The sequence below is a fragment of the Homo sapiens genome, chromosome 6, assembly GCF_000001405.40.
Source record: "Homo sapiens chromosome 6, GRCh38.p14 Primary Assembly".
Taxonomy (NCBI): domain Eukaryota; kingdom Metazoa; phylum Chordata; class Mammalia; order Primates; family Hominidae; genus Homo; species Homo sapiens.
The window spans coordinates 145,669,853-145,684,625 of record NC_000006.12 but is presented as its reverse complement, the minus strand read 5'-3'; the positions used below and the strand labels follow the sequence as shown (position 1 = coordinate 145,684,625).

General features: G+C 37.4%; 1 protein-coding gene across 17 annotated transcripts in view, besides 2 other annotated features; it reads left to right on the top strand.

Moving 5' to 3' along the window:
• The window catches only part of EPM2A (EPM2A glucan phosphatase, laforin), a 352,671-nt gene that overhangs the window by 51,398 nt on the left and 286,500 nt on the right, over positions 1–14,773 (top strand). For 2 of the 17 annotated variants that reach the window (NM_001368129.2, NM_001368132.1), the window contains exon 3: positions 13,227–13,387. The exons of 13 other annotated variants lie outside the window; for them this stretch is intronic. In NM_001368129.2, the coding sequence (NP_001355058.1) occupies positions 13,374–13,387 (14 nt within the window). In that variant the 5' untranslated portion in view covers positions 13,227–13,373. Of the gene's footprint in view, positions 1–1,966; positions 2,218–10,422; positions 10,595–13,226; positions 13,388–14,773 lie in introns of those variants that run through there. 2 more of the 17 variants (XM_047419364.1, XM_017011302.2) reach the window with 2 other exon arrangements.
• Positions 10,186–10,857: an enhancer, noted in NCBI's record as "H3K27ac-H3K4me1 hESC enhancer chr6:145994905-145995576 (GRCh37/hg19 assembly coordinates)". NCBI's record gives its function as "activates a minimal SCP1, AML or CMV promoter by ChIP-STARR-seq in primed H9 embryonic stem cells {active_cell/tissue: H9 hESC(primed)}" and the evidence as "EXISTENCE:reporter gene assay evidence [ECO:0000049][PMID:30033119]".
• Positions 10,858–11,529: an enhancer, noted in NCBI's record as "H3K27ac-H3K4me1 hESC enhancer chr6:145994233-145994904 (GRCh37/hg19 assembly coordinates)". NCBI's record gives its function as "activates a minimal SCP1, AML or CMV promoter by ChIP-STARR-seq in primed H9 embryonic stem cells {active_cell/tissue: H9 hESC(primed)}" and the evidence as "EXISTENCE:reporter gene assay evidence [ECO:0000049][PMID:30033119]".

The following is a 14,773-nucleotide window of genomic DNA, read 5'->3' as shown; positions in this document are numbered from 1 at the left end:
TATCAAGACATAGATAGCATTCAAAATGTTGAGTCTAGATGAGACAATAGTAAATGAGTGAAGTATAGAAGAGACAAAGAGAAGAAGCAAAAATATTGAGCCCTGGTTCACACAATTTAGAAGTCAAGGAGAAGCAGAAGATCCAGAGAAAGGAATGAGAAGCAACACTTCTTGAGATGGTCTGACATTTAATGAGGATATGTTTATGGGTTCTTTTAAATGATCCTGAACCACATTTCCTGAATGAACCCTTTTTTCTGAAGAGTCATATCTTGGGCTCTGGAGATTTTTTTCCACTGAATGATTATTTCTTCTCCTTGATTGCCTTTGCTCTTTGTCATTAGAGACACTCCTTAGATGGATGTTGGACCTCTTGGATTTACATTTTATATTTGTCATCTTTTTTATTGCTTTACATTTTGAGAGGCTTCTTTTTTTCCAATTCAACTATCGATTATTTTTTTCTTAATTTTGGTAATTGTATTCTTAATTTTCATGGACTTTTACTTATTCTGTTATTCACTTTTTGCATATTAGTTTGTTCTTGTTTATGAATGAGTATATTCATGAATCTTTCTTAGAATACTAATGAGAGTTATTTTTAAGTTCTCTTCTCTTACTGGAACTATACTTTTTCCTCCTGAATCAATTGTTTTTCATTCATTTTGATCTTTCTTTTTTGTGTTATTATTGTTTTAGGTAACATGATTATTAGTTGTTCATATTTACTATGTGAAAGATTAGGTTGATTGTTGTATATGGCTGTCATAATTTTCCTCTGCTATTACTGGCCTCTGTACCTGTGAGAGGTGTTGGGGGCAAGCTGTGCTCAGGTGGGCAGATCCTATCTTTCTCAGCAGACTCTGATCAGACAACCCACCTGCATACTTCCTCCGCCCCACCCTGAATGAAAAGACAGGCAGGGTCTGTTGTGGGGTACACCTCTCACTCTGAGAAAATTTGCTCTCTGAGTTGATGTTTTAATTTTTAAATAGAGTATTTCTTCAGCTTCACTTACAGTATCAAAGCTGTATGTGCAGGTGAGAGTGAACCTTAGTTCATATACTCAACTGTGCAAGAAAGCGTACGTTTCTTTATTTTCTTTAAAGCAACATAGTTTTACATCCAAGTCTCTATCCTACTGAATTCTCAGGTAATTCAACCTGTTATCCACTGCAAGGTGTAAATATATCTATGCTTATAAATAGTAATATATTAAAATGTATGTATACTATATAATACTTTATATATTAAAATAATAAATAATATATGTGTATGTATACCTGGAGTATAATATATAATCTAATATATACACACTCACACACACACACACACACACACACACACACACACACACCAAATCCTGGGAATCTTTATTTTTCAACATCTCCATGTGATTTTTACATGTGTGAAAGGACAGTAGTTTAGAATAGAAAAGGAATATTTTAATGCACCTTCAGTTGTTTCAGTCCAACTCCCCTTAAAAATTCCAGCATAATTCACCTTCACATGAAACTGGGTAAGATGAAAATCTGAATTCAGTTTAAAAGAAAAGAGTCAGAAAGGCATTTTATATTTCATTATTAAATTGAAAACATCGAATTCTATCTGTTTGCTATGTTCATCTGACAATGTATAATGCTAAGATTATTTGTGAATTTATCTTAGCTGCTGAAATAGATACAGACAGGTAGATTATATGTTTGAGCATTTATACAATGGAGGTATTCAAACTCAACTAAGAATTTGTAATTACAGACTCTCACTCTTTAGTTTGAATATAGGAATGGAATTATGCCTAGAATTTTTTTATGGTTGGGATAAATCATATCAGAATGGAATTGCCAATATCCTTTATAAGGATGAGGCTTTTTAGAACATATATATCTAAAAATTAAATGTTATATAATAAGATAAATGGTAACTTCATTTATTCAGTAAGAATTGTGTGGATTACTCTGTGCAGCCCATCTTGAGTGCTGGACCATCAATAATGGAGAGACATGATCCTTGCTCTCATGGAACTTATGCTGTAGTGGAAGACAACATGTAAACAGCTGCAATACAGTTAAATATTTGCTGTAATGAAGTTATATATGTAGTGTAAAAAGGGACAGGAAAAATCTTTAATTCAAGGAAATCTTTATGAGGACGTAGAACTTGAACAGAAATGTGAAGCCATCTTTTTCTCAGGACATTTGGGAAAGGGAATTCAAGGTAAGAAGAATAGCGATATGGTTTGGCTGTGTCCCGACCCAAATCTCGTCTTGCATTGTAGCTTCCACAATTCTCATGTGTTGTAGGAGAGACTAGTGGGAGGTAATTGAATCATGGGGGCGAGTCTTTCCCATACTGTTCTCGTGATAGTGAATAAGTCTCATGAGATCTGATGGTTTTATAAGGAGGAGTTTCCCTGCACATGCTCTCTCTTTGTCTGCTGCCATCCATGTAAGACGTGACTTGCTCTTCCTTGCCTTCAACCGTGATTGTGAGGCCTCCCGAGCCACGTGGAACTGTGAGTCCATTAAACCTCCTTCCTGTAAACGTTACCCAGTCTTGGGTATGTCTTTATTAGCAGAGTGAAAACGGACTAATGCAAATAGCAAGTGTACATATAGAGAGGTGTGAGAGAGCAATATTAGGGTAGCCACCTAATTTTCTCCAACCAGGATGCTTTGAGAGTAAAAAGAGGTACTTTACATAATTAGCCTGAACATGGGGTATGAAAATAGGACTTTACTGGGAATGCTAGGACATATGGCAACCTAGAGAACATGTCATGTAAAAGAGAACATTCTGGTACTTCTCAATATTCAGATGCATATATAAGCTGACAAGCACCTGTCTCCATAGAGAGACTACAGTTATCCTTTGATAGATCAATGGAACAGAACAGAGCCCTCAGAAATAACGCCGCATATCTACAACTATCTGATCTTTAACAAACCTGAGAAAAACAAGCAATGGGGAAAGGATTCCCTATTTAATAAATGGTGCTGGGAAAACTGGCTAGCCATATGTAGAAAGCTGAAACTGGATCCCTTCCTTACACCTTATACAAAAATCAATTCAAGATGGATTAAAGACTTAAACATTAGACCTAAAACCATAAAAACCCTAGAAGAAAACCTAGGCATTACCATTCAGGACATAGGCATGGGCAAGGACTTCATGTCTAAAACACCAAAAGCAATGGCAACAAAAGCCAAAATTGACAAATGGGATCTAATTAAACTGAAGAGCTTCTGCACAGCAAAAGAAACTACCATCAGAGTGAACAGGCAACCTACAGAATGGGAGAAAATTTTTGCAACCTACTCATCTGACAAAGGGCTAATATCCAGAATCTACAATGAACTCAAACAAATTTACAAGAAAAAAACAAACAACCCCATCAAAAAGTGGGTGAAGGACATGAACAGACACTTCTCAAAAGAAGACATTTATGCAGCCAAAAAACACATGAAAAAATGCTCATCATCACTGGCCATCAGAGAAATGCAAATCAAAACCACAATTAGATACCATCTCACACCAGTTAGAATTGCAATCATTCAAGAGTCAGGAAACAACAGGTGCTGGAGAGGATGTGGAGAAATAGGAACACTTTTACACTGTTGGTGGGACTGTAAACTAGTTCAACCCTTGTGGAAGTCAGTGTGGCGATTCCTCAGGGATCTAGAACTAGAAATACCATTTGACCCAGCCATCCCATTACTGGGTATATACCCAAAGGACTATAAATCATGCTGCTATAAAGACACATGCACACGTATGTTTATAGCGGCACTATTCACAATAGCAAAGACTTGGAACCAACCCAAATGTCCAACAATGATAGACTGGATTAAGAAAATGTGGCACATATGCACCATGGAATACTATGCAGCCATAAAAAATGATGAGTTCATGTCCTTTGTAGGGACATGGATGAAGCTTGACACCATCATTCTCAGCAAAGTATCACAAGGACAAAAAACCAAACACCACATGTTCTCACTCATAGGTGGGAATTGAACAATGAGAACACATGGACACAGGAAGGGGAACATCACACTCTGGGGACTGTTGTGGGGTGGGGGGAGTGGGGAGGGATAGCTTTAGGAGATACACCTAATGCTAAATGACGAGTTAATGGGTGCAGCACACCAGCATGGCACATGTATACATATGTAACTAACCTGCACATTGTGCACATGTACCCTAAAACTTAAAGTATAATGATAATAAAATAAAATAAAATAAATAAATAAATAAATAAATGAAACTTACGCAGAAAAAAAAAAGAAATTAGCACCCATTCCATGTTATGATTTATCTAGAGAGGTTTATGTGTTACATTTTAGTTTTTGATTTTTAGCCAAGGCATACATGCCAATTCTTTAAACATGTGTTTAAAGAATTTATCAGATCTACAAGTTTTATTATGAGAAAAAGAAATCTTTCTCCCTCTTCTTTCCCCCACCCAACCTCCCCCAATTTTGTCTTTCCACAGGCAGCCACTTTCATCTCTTTAAGTTCATAATTTGCTACTTAACTTCAGGTAAATGATAAATAATATGATTATATTACTACTGTTTGGTTTTAGATCTAGGTATTATCTATTGACTTTACAACTTGAAATATGAATATCTAGCTCTCTTTTCTTCTCCTTCTCCCACATCCATCCTATTGTTCATTCTTCCCAATATAGTAATGCGTTATTTTTCATGAGATCAGTATTCCACGTGTATATTCGTATGCCTATGTAAATGCTATTTAACAACCAAACAGTTCGCAGATGTTTAAAGCTCCTCTGAAGAACTTACAGCTCTCAAGGTTGCTATTGAGAAGTCAAAGCCATTATGCTTTCCAATCTTTTATGTTCAAGTGTTTTTGTTTTTGTTTTTACTTCCGTAAACGAAGAAGCCTGCAGAATCTTTGCATTTCCAATAGTGTGAAATTCCATGATGAATGTCTTGGTATGGGTCCATTTTATCCATTTTGCTAAGCTCTCAGTGCAGAAGACTTTAATTCTGCAAAGAAGTAAAACTTACTTCTTTGGAAGTAAATTTCTTCAATTATTTCTTTGATAATTTCCTCCCCTTTATTTCTGGAATTCCTATTACTGAATTATTGGGTCTCTGGCCTGAGTTTTCAATTTTCTTGTCTTTTATATTTTGCATTTCTTTTTTTTCTTTTTAAATATATTTTTCTTCTCCTTTTTTGTTTTTTATTATTATACTTTAAGTTCTAGGGTACATGTTCACAACATGCAGGTTTGTTACATAGGTATACATGTGCCATGTTGGTTTGCTGCACCCATCAACTCGTCATTTACATTAGGTATTTCTTCTAATGATATCCCGCCCCCAGTACCCCACCCCCTGACAGGCCCCAGTGTGTGATGTTCCCCACCCTGTGTCCAAGTGTTCTCATTGTGCAATTCCCACCTATGAATGTGAACGTGCAGTTCACAGAAAACATGGTTTTCTGTCCTTGTGATAGTTTGCTGAGAATGATGGTTTCCAGATTCATCCATGTCCCTGCAAAGGACATGAACTCATCCTTTTTTATGGCTGCATGGTATTCCATGATGTATATGTGCCACATTTTCTTAATCCAGTCTATCATTGATGGACATTTGGGTTGGTTCCAAGTCTTTGCTACTGTGAATAATGCCGCAATAAATATACGTGTGCATGTGTCTTTATAGTAGCATGACGTATAATCCTTTGAGTATATACCCAGTAATAGGATCACTGGGTCAAATGGTATTTCTAGTTCTAGATCCTTGAGGGATTGCCACACTGTCTTCCACAATGGTTGAACTAATGTACACTCCCACCAACAGTGTAAAAGCATTCCTATTTCCCCACATCCCCTCCAGCATCTGTTGTTTCCTGACTTTTTAATGATCACTATTCTAACTGGCGTGAGATGGTATCTCATTGTGGTTTTGATTTGTATTTCTCTGATGACCAGGGATGATGAACATTTTTTCATGTGTCTGTTGGCTGCATAAATGTCTCCTTTTGAGAAGTGTCTGTTCATATCCTTTGCCCACTTTTTGATGGGGTTGTTCGTTTTTTTCTTGTATATTTGTTTAAGTTCTTTGTAGATTCTGGATATTACACCTTTGTCACATGGGTAGATTGCAAAAATTTTCTCCCATTCTGTAGGTTTCCTGTTCACTCTGATGGAGGTTCTTTTGCTGTGCAGAAGCTCTTTAGTTTAATTAGATCCCATTTGTCAATTTTGGCTTTTGTTGCCATTGCTTTTGGTGTTTTCATCATTAAGTCCTTGCCCATGCCTGTGTCCTGAATGGTATTGCCTAGGTTTTCTTCCAGGGTTTTTATGGTTTTAGGTCTAACATTTAAGTCAATGTGTAAGGACGGGATCCAGTTTCAGCTTTCTACATACTGCTAGCCAGTTTTCCCAGCACCATTTATTAAATAGGGAATCCTTCCCCCATTTCTTGCTTTTGTCAGGTTTGTCAATGATCAGATGGTTGTAGAAGTGCGGTGTTATTTCTGAGGCCTCTGTTGTGTTCCGTTAGTCTATAAATCTGTTTTGGTACCAGTACCATGCTGTTTTGGTTACTGTAGCCTTGTAGTATAGTTTGAAGTCAGGTAGCATGATGCCTCCAGCTTTGGTCTTTTTGCTTATGATTGTCATGGCAATGCAGGCTCTTTTTTGGTTCCATATGAACTTCAAAGTAGTTTTTTACAATTCTGTGAAGAAAGTCATTGGTAGCTTGATGGGGATGGCATTTAATCTATAAATTACCTGAGGCCATATGGCCATTTTCACGATATTGATTCTTCCTATCCATGAGCATGGAATGGTCTTCCATTTGTTTGTGTCCCCTTTTATTTTGTTGAGCAGTGGTTTGTAGTTCTCCTTAAAGAGGTCCTTCACATCCCTTGTAAGTTGGATTCCTAGGTATTTTATTCTCTTTGAAGCAATTGTGAATGGGAGTTCACTCATGATTTGGCTGTTTGTCTATTATTCGTGTATAGGAATTCTTGTGATTTTTGCACTTTGATTTTGTATTCTGAGACTTTGCTGAAGTTGTGTATCAGCTTAAGGAGATTTGGGCTGAGATGATGGGGTTTTCTAAATATACAATCATGACATCTGCAAACAGGGACAATTTGACTTCCTCTTTTCCTAATTGAATACCCTTTATTTCTTTCTCTTGCCTGATTGTCCTGGCCAGAACTTCCAACACTATGTTGAATAGGAGTGGTGAGAGAGGGCATCCTTGTCTTGTGCCGGTTTTCAAAAGGAATGCTTCCAATTTTTGCCCATTCAGTATAATATTGGCTGTGGGTTTGTCATAAATAGCTCTTACTATTTTGAGATATGTTCCATCAATACCTAGTTTATTGAGAGTTTTTAGCATGAAGGGCTGTTGAATTTGTTGAAGGCATTTTCTGCTTCTATTGAGATAATCATGTGGTTTTTTTCATTGGTTCTGTTTATGTGATAGATTACATTTATTGATTTGCATATGTTGAATGAGGCTTGCATCCCACGGATGAAGCCAGCTTGATTGTGGAGGATAAGCTTTTTGATGTGCTGCTGGATTTGGTTTGCCAGTATTTTACTGAGGATTTTTGCATCGATGTTCATCAGGGATATTGGTCTAAAATGCTCTTTTGTTTGTGTGTGTGTCTCTGCCAGGCTTTGGTATCAGGATGATGCTAGCCTCATAAAATGAGTTATGGAGGAGTCCCTTTTTTTATATTGATTGGAATAGTTTCAGAAGGAATGATACCAGCTCCTCTTTGTACCTCTCATAGAATTTGGCTGTGAATCCATCTGGTCCTGGATATTTTTTGGTTGGTATGCTATCAATTATTGCCTCAATTTCAGAACCTGTTATTGGTCTATTCAGAGATTCAACTTCTTCCTGGTTTAATCTTGGGAGGGTGTATGTGTCCAGAAATTTATCCATTTCTTCTTGATTTTCTAGTTTATTTGGATAGAGGTGTTTATAGTATTCTCTGATGGTAGTTTGTATTTTTTTGGGATCGGTGGTGATATCTTCTTTATCATTTTTTTGTTGTGTCTATTTGTTTCTTCTCTCTTTTCTTCTTTATTTGTCTTGCTAGCAGCCTATCAATTTTGTTGATCTTTTCAAAAAACCAGCTCCTGGATTCATTGATTTTTTTGAAGGGTTTTTTTGTGTCTCTATCTCCTTCAGTTCTGCTCTGATCTTAGTTACTTCTTGCCTTCTGCTACCTTTTGAATTTGTTTGCTCTTGCTTCTACAGTTCTTTTAATTGTGATGTTAGGGTGTCAATTTTATATCTTTCTGCTTTCTCTTGTGGGCATTTAGTGCTATAAATTTCCCTCTACACACTGCTTTAAATGTGTCCCAGAGATTCTGGTATGTTGTGTCTTTGTTTTCATTGGTTTCAAAGAACATCTTTATTTCTGCCTTCATTTCATTATTTATCCAGTAGTCATTCAGGAGCAGGTTGTTCAGTTTCCATGTAGTTGTGTGGTTTTGAGTGAGTTTCTTAATCCTGAGTTCTAATTTGATTTCACTGTGGTCTGAGAGACAGTTTGTTGTGATTTCTGTTCTTTTACATTTGCTGAGGAATGCTTTACTTCCAATTATGTGGTCAATTTAAGTGCGATATGGTGCTGAGAAGAATGTATATTCTGTTGATTTTGGGTGAAAAGTTCTGTAGATGTCTATTAGGTCTGCTTGGTGCAGAGGTGAGTTCAAGTCCTGGATATCCTTGTTCACCTTCTGTTTTGTTGATCTGTCTAATATTGACAGTGGGGTGTTAAAGTCTCCCATTATTATTGTTTGGGAGTCTAAGTCTCTTTATAGGTCTCTAAGGACTTGCTTTATGAATCTGGGTGCTCCTGTATTGGGTGCATATATATTTAAGATAGTTAATTCTTCTTGTTGAATTGATCCCTTTACCATTATGTAATGGCCTTATCTCTTTTAATCTTTGTTAGTTTAAAGTCTGTTTTATTGGTGACTAGGATTGCAACCCCTGCTTTTTCTTGCTTTCCATTTACTTGGTAGATCTTCCTCCATCCCTTTATTTTGAGCCTATGTGTATCTCTGCACGTGAGATGGGTCTCCTGAATACAGCACACTGATGAGTCTTGACTCTTTATCTAATTTGCCAGTCTGTGTCTTTTAATTGAGGCATTTAGCCCATTTACATTTAAGGTTAATATTGCTATGTATGAATTTGATCCTGTCATTATGATGTTAGCTGGTTATTTTGCCCATTAATTGATGCAGTTTCTTCATAGCATCGATGGTCTTTACTATTTGGCATGTTTTTGCAGTGGGTGGTAACAGTTGTTCCTTTCCATGTTTAGTGCTTCCTTCAGGAGATCTTGTAAGGCAGGCCTTGTGATGACAAAATCTGTCAGCATTTGCTTGTCTGTAAAGTATTTTATTTCTCCTTCACTTATGAAGCTTAGTTTGGGTGGAAATGAAATTCTGGGTTGAAAATTATTTTCTTTAAGAATGTTGAATATTGGCCCCCACTCTCTTCTGGCTTGTAGGGTTTCTGCAGAGAGATCTGCTGTTAGTCTGATGGGTTTCCTTTTGTGGGTAACCCGACCTTTCTCTCTGGCTGCCCTTAACATTTTTTTCTTCATTTTAACCTTGGTGAATCTGACAATTATGTGTCTTGTGGTTGCTCTTCTTGAGGAGTATCTTCGTGGTGTTCTCTGTATTTCCTGAATTTGAATGTTGGCCTGCCTTACCAGGTTGGAGAAATTCTCCTGGATAATATCCTGAAGAGTGTTTTCCAACTTGGTTCCATTCTCCCTGTCACTTTCAGGTACACCAATCAAATGTAGATTTGGTCTTTTCACATAGTGCCATATTTCTCGGAGGCTTTTTTTGTTTTTACTCTTTTTTCTCTAATCTTGTCTTCTTACTTTATTTCATTAATTTGATCTTCAATCACTAATATCCTTTCTTCCACTTGATCAAATTGGCTACAGAAGCTTGTGCATGTGTCACAAGGTTCTCGTGCCATGGTTTTCAGCTCCGTCAGGTCATTTTAGGTCTTTTCTACACTGTTTATTAGTTAGCCATTTGTCTAACCTTTTTTCAAGGTTTTTAGCTTCCTTCTGATGGGTTAGGACATGTTCGTTTGGCTCGGACAAATTTGTTATTACTGACCTTCTAAAGCCTTCTTCTCTGTCAGCTTGTCAAAGTCATTCTCTGTCCAGCTTTGTTCCATTGCCCCCAAGGAACTGCAGTCCTTTGGAGGAGCAGAGGTGCTCTGGTTTTTAGAATTTTTAACTTCTCCTCTGGTTTCTCTCTATCTTTGTGGTTTTATCTACCTTTGGTCCTACAGACCTACAGGTGGGGTTTGGTGTAGATGTCCTTTTTGTTGATGTTGATGCTATTTCTTTCTGTTTGTTCATTTTTCTTCTAACAGTTAGGTCCCTCAGCTTCAGGTCTGTTGGAGTTTGCTTCAGGTCCACTCCAGACCCTGTTTGCCTGGTTATCACCAGTGGAGGCTGCAGAATAGCAAATATTGCTGCCTGATCCTTCCTCTGGAAGCTTCATCCCAGAGGGGCACCCGCCTGTATGAGGTGTCTGTTGGCCCCTACTGGTAGGTGTCTCCCTGTTAGACTACACAGGGGTTGGGGACCCACTTGAGGAGGCAGTCTCTTTGTTCTCAGTGCTCAAATGCTGGGAGAACCACTGCTGGGAGAACCACTGCTCTCTTCAGAGCTGTCAGACAGGGATGTTTAAGTCTGCAAAGTTTCTGCTGCCTTTTTTTCAGCTATGTCCTGCCCACAGAGGTGGAGTCTATAGAGGCAGTAGGCCAAGCTGAGCTGCAGTGGGCTCTGTCCAGTTTGAGCTTCCTGGCCACTTTGTTTACCTACTGAAGCCTCAGCAATAGCAGACGCCCTCCCCTCCCCCCACCAGGCTGCAGCCTCTCAGGTTGATCTCAGACTGCTACACTAGCAGTCAACAAGGCTCCGTGGGCATGGGACCCGCCGAGCTAGGCACGGGAGAGAATCTCATGGTTTGCTGGTTGCTAAGACCATGGGAAAAGTGCAGTATTTGAGTGAAAGTGTCCTGTTTTTCCAGGTACAGTCTGTCATAGCTTCCCTTGGCTAGGAAAGGGAAATCCCCCTACCCCTTGCACTTCCTGAGTGAGGCAATGCGCCGCCCTGCTTTGGCTCACCCTCCGTGGGCTGCACCCACTGTCCAACCAGTCCCAGTGAGATGAACCAGGTACCTCAGTTGGAAATGCAGAAATCACCTATCTTCTGCGTCGATCACACTGGGAGCTGCAGATCAGAGTGCTTCCTATTCGGCCATCTTGGAATGGATTCCTAAAGATATTTTTCTTAAGTTTATCATCCCACACTCCTATTTAGTTTTGTATTTCTGCTATTATTTATTTTTGAGGAAAATAAGTTTGAGTTTTTTAAAAATATTATTCTGTTTTTATCATGGTTAGATTATTTCTAGGGAGACAGCAAACAATTGTTTTTTTTTTTAATTTTAAAAACAAATTTCTTTCCCTGACATTGTTTTTGTGTGTTCCAAATTGTTTTAATGTATTTTTTTCTCTTCGGTTTGTCTCAATAGCTCACATTAGAGGATTTCCTCTGGTACCTGGAAATTCTTAGTTTTTTGCTTCTCTTTAAGTGTGGGAGACAAAAGCACAGATTAGAGGCTCTGAGTATATAGATGGGTGTGTGACTACATGATCTGACTGCCCTATTTAGATGGGAAACCTCTGATGTGAGATCTTTAGGTCTTTCCTTCTATACTACTTTTTTTTCCTAGACAAGGCTTTGCCAAACTCCTGCCTGGAGGGTGAAGGTCTGTACTGGGACCTGAGTGTAGGAGGCTGGCTGAGGGGATCTCTGCTTCCAATGTACATAATACACTTAATTCCTCTGTTTTTATTGTGATGTTTCTTCCTTGTGCCGGGGTTCCCCCAGTCCAGAGACTTCTTTAACCTTTTCAAGAGAATAAACCTCGTCTTTTGCTAGGACTGGGGAGGGAAAGTTTCCCAGCTGAGGAGAGTGTAAAAGTGAATCTGGCATCTGGCTGCTTCTTAAACAGGCTTTCAACTAGTTCTTATTTCTTTTTCTCGTATCTAAAAGTATCTGGTGGTACCCATTTCTGAGCCTGTTGGAGATTCCGTAGTATCATTGTAGTTAGTTCTCACCATTCCCTACTGCTGGCATTAGGACTTTGTTGTTTGTTGTAGCTCTGTTAAATTTTTCAACAATTAACCAATTGCTTTCCAACTTCTATAATTTTATTGTTACCGTCTTTTCATTTCTGTGACCTTAGGGGCGTGTGTTTTAAAGGGATTTGGGGAAGGAGTCAAGAATTTGGTGAAAGATTCTAGATGTGTGGAATCAATTTGTGTGCAATAAAATAAACTGAAATAAAATATAAAACTTGGTAAATAGCTCAATAAATATTAAATCCACATTTAGCTTGTACTATGTTTCTTTGGCCCAGGTAAGATTCTTTCATGCTAGAATGAGATTTTAAAAATCAATGTGCATTTTTATATTCAGGCTACAGTTAGGACCAAACTACACCACCCTCTTCAATAGAATTATTTTTCATGCAAAAGAATGGATATTTGCATTAAAGGACACATATAACTAACTTAATGAGATGTTAGTGGTTAAGGACTGTAATTTCTGTTCCTTGAAAAGGCTTATTGCCAATTAAATACACTTCAAGAGGCATAAATTAGATTTTATGAACATCACACTTCACACTCTTTCAAAAATGTTACAGTTTAGAAAATGTATTGTAAAAGCATGTTTATACTTTTACCTTCTTTGGCTCAGAAAGAAATTCTATACAGTAAATTTTGAAACTCAAAATTATTTTACACACTATAGAACAATAATTTTGCACATTTAAAAATACTATTTTATCTGGCATTCTTTTAAATGAATGAAGTTAATTACTTTGGAGACAGACTAAGGAGCTAGGGTTCTAGCCTCAGCTCTCTCATTTACTCATGGGTAACCTTGGAACAATCCTGTAACAGTTCTAGAAATTTTAATTTCCTAATTTGCAAAGTGAGCTGGTTGAACTAGATGACTATTAAAAGTATAGTTCTGGAAATAATCAAGGTTAACACCTGATTAATGTCAATGTTAATTTCAAAAGCTAAGGCTTATATCACATTTTGCCAACATGTAATATTGACTCACAATGACTATAGTTCATATCAGCTTCTCTGCTTTCAGATCCAGGGACCAAAGGCCTGAATTCCAGTTGTGCCTCAAGATGGTGCTTTCCCTCATTTTTGTAGCTCAAGACGTACATTCAACTCAAGAGTCCAGCTCTACAGCAGCTATATTTGGAAATACACATATTTTATGGCCAGTATATAAATGATTTTTAATAAGTATGTATACACTTCTTGTATAATGATAAGATTTTTTTTTTTTTACTTTGCTCGCATTTATAAATCAAACTTCGACAAGAATCTTTTTTGGAGTAAACAGAGAATAGCCACAGAATTTGGTGGGCAATGGGACCTAATTACATAGTCCTGCTTCTATAGTTCACAGTCAAGACATTACTGGGCAAAGATAGACACTAATTTCAATTAGCATTTCCATCTGATTCAATGATTTGAGATTCTTTTAAATCTTAAGACCAAGATTACAATTGTTCATATCAGTAGGAAAGGAAAACAACATGCTTCTCCTTTTTGTTGAATTCTTCTGACTGGGGAATGATTTTTATTGAGTATTAACTGGGCGTGTGAGAGTTCTCTAAGAGTACCTTTTTTCTATCTGAATAATGCTGTTCATACGGTCAAATTAATTGCTAGATATCCTCTTTTTCTTATGTTTTCGAAATATATTTTTATATAAGAGAAATATATTTAAATATATTAAGCAAAATACATATTTTATCTCATATATATCATTATATTAGGATGATTTATTTTCAACACCATATCAAAGAATATTAGTGTTAGTAGCATCTTAAAGGTAATAGGGCCTAGTGCAAGCATAGTCCCTTAATTCTTGTTTCTTAAGAGTCATTTAGAACCTATCAGCTAAAGTGTATGAAGAAATAAATCAGTTTTGGCAGACCATGCTGTTCTGGAATCAGTACAATTGTAAAGGAAGCAGCTGTATTTTTGTGCTCCCTCGTGTATTATCAGCAGCATTGTTGTTTAAATGGTGATGGAAATGTCTTGACCAGTGGTGAATGAAAGGAAGACTGGAAAGGAGAGAGCTTGACTGCTAGATCTCAGGTTGTATCATAGGAATGGTGGTAAGAAAGATAATGATTTTATCATATAAATTAAGCAAACTGGATTTATTATAAGTCATGAATGATGTGGGTAAGATATGGTGGTTTTACTGTAAAATATAGAATTTTACTACAAAAGAGATCAGAGCAATGAGGGAAGGTTAGAAAGGTGAAGGAAATTTATAAGGTGGGAGCCATAGCAGAATATTTTCATGTTAATAAACATTATCCCAGAGAGTAGAGAAAAATTAATGATTAAGAAGAGAAAGGAGAGAACTGCAGGAGCAAAATCTGTGTGTAAGCAAGAGTGAACCGAACCAGGAGAATAAACGATTCATCTCTGGTCCTAGGAGGAAGGCAGAGAACTTGGACATGGATCCAGTAGGTTGAATCAGCAGTGAGAGCATGTGGAAGTTTGGTTTTTGATGGCTCTTTTCTCAGTGAAATAGGAAGCAAGGTCATCAGACGATAATGAGAAGAGAAAGAAGATTTAGGTTTGAATGAGATACATGGACTGGGTGAC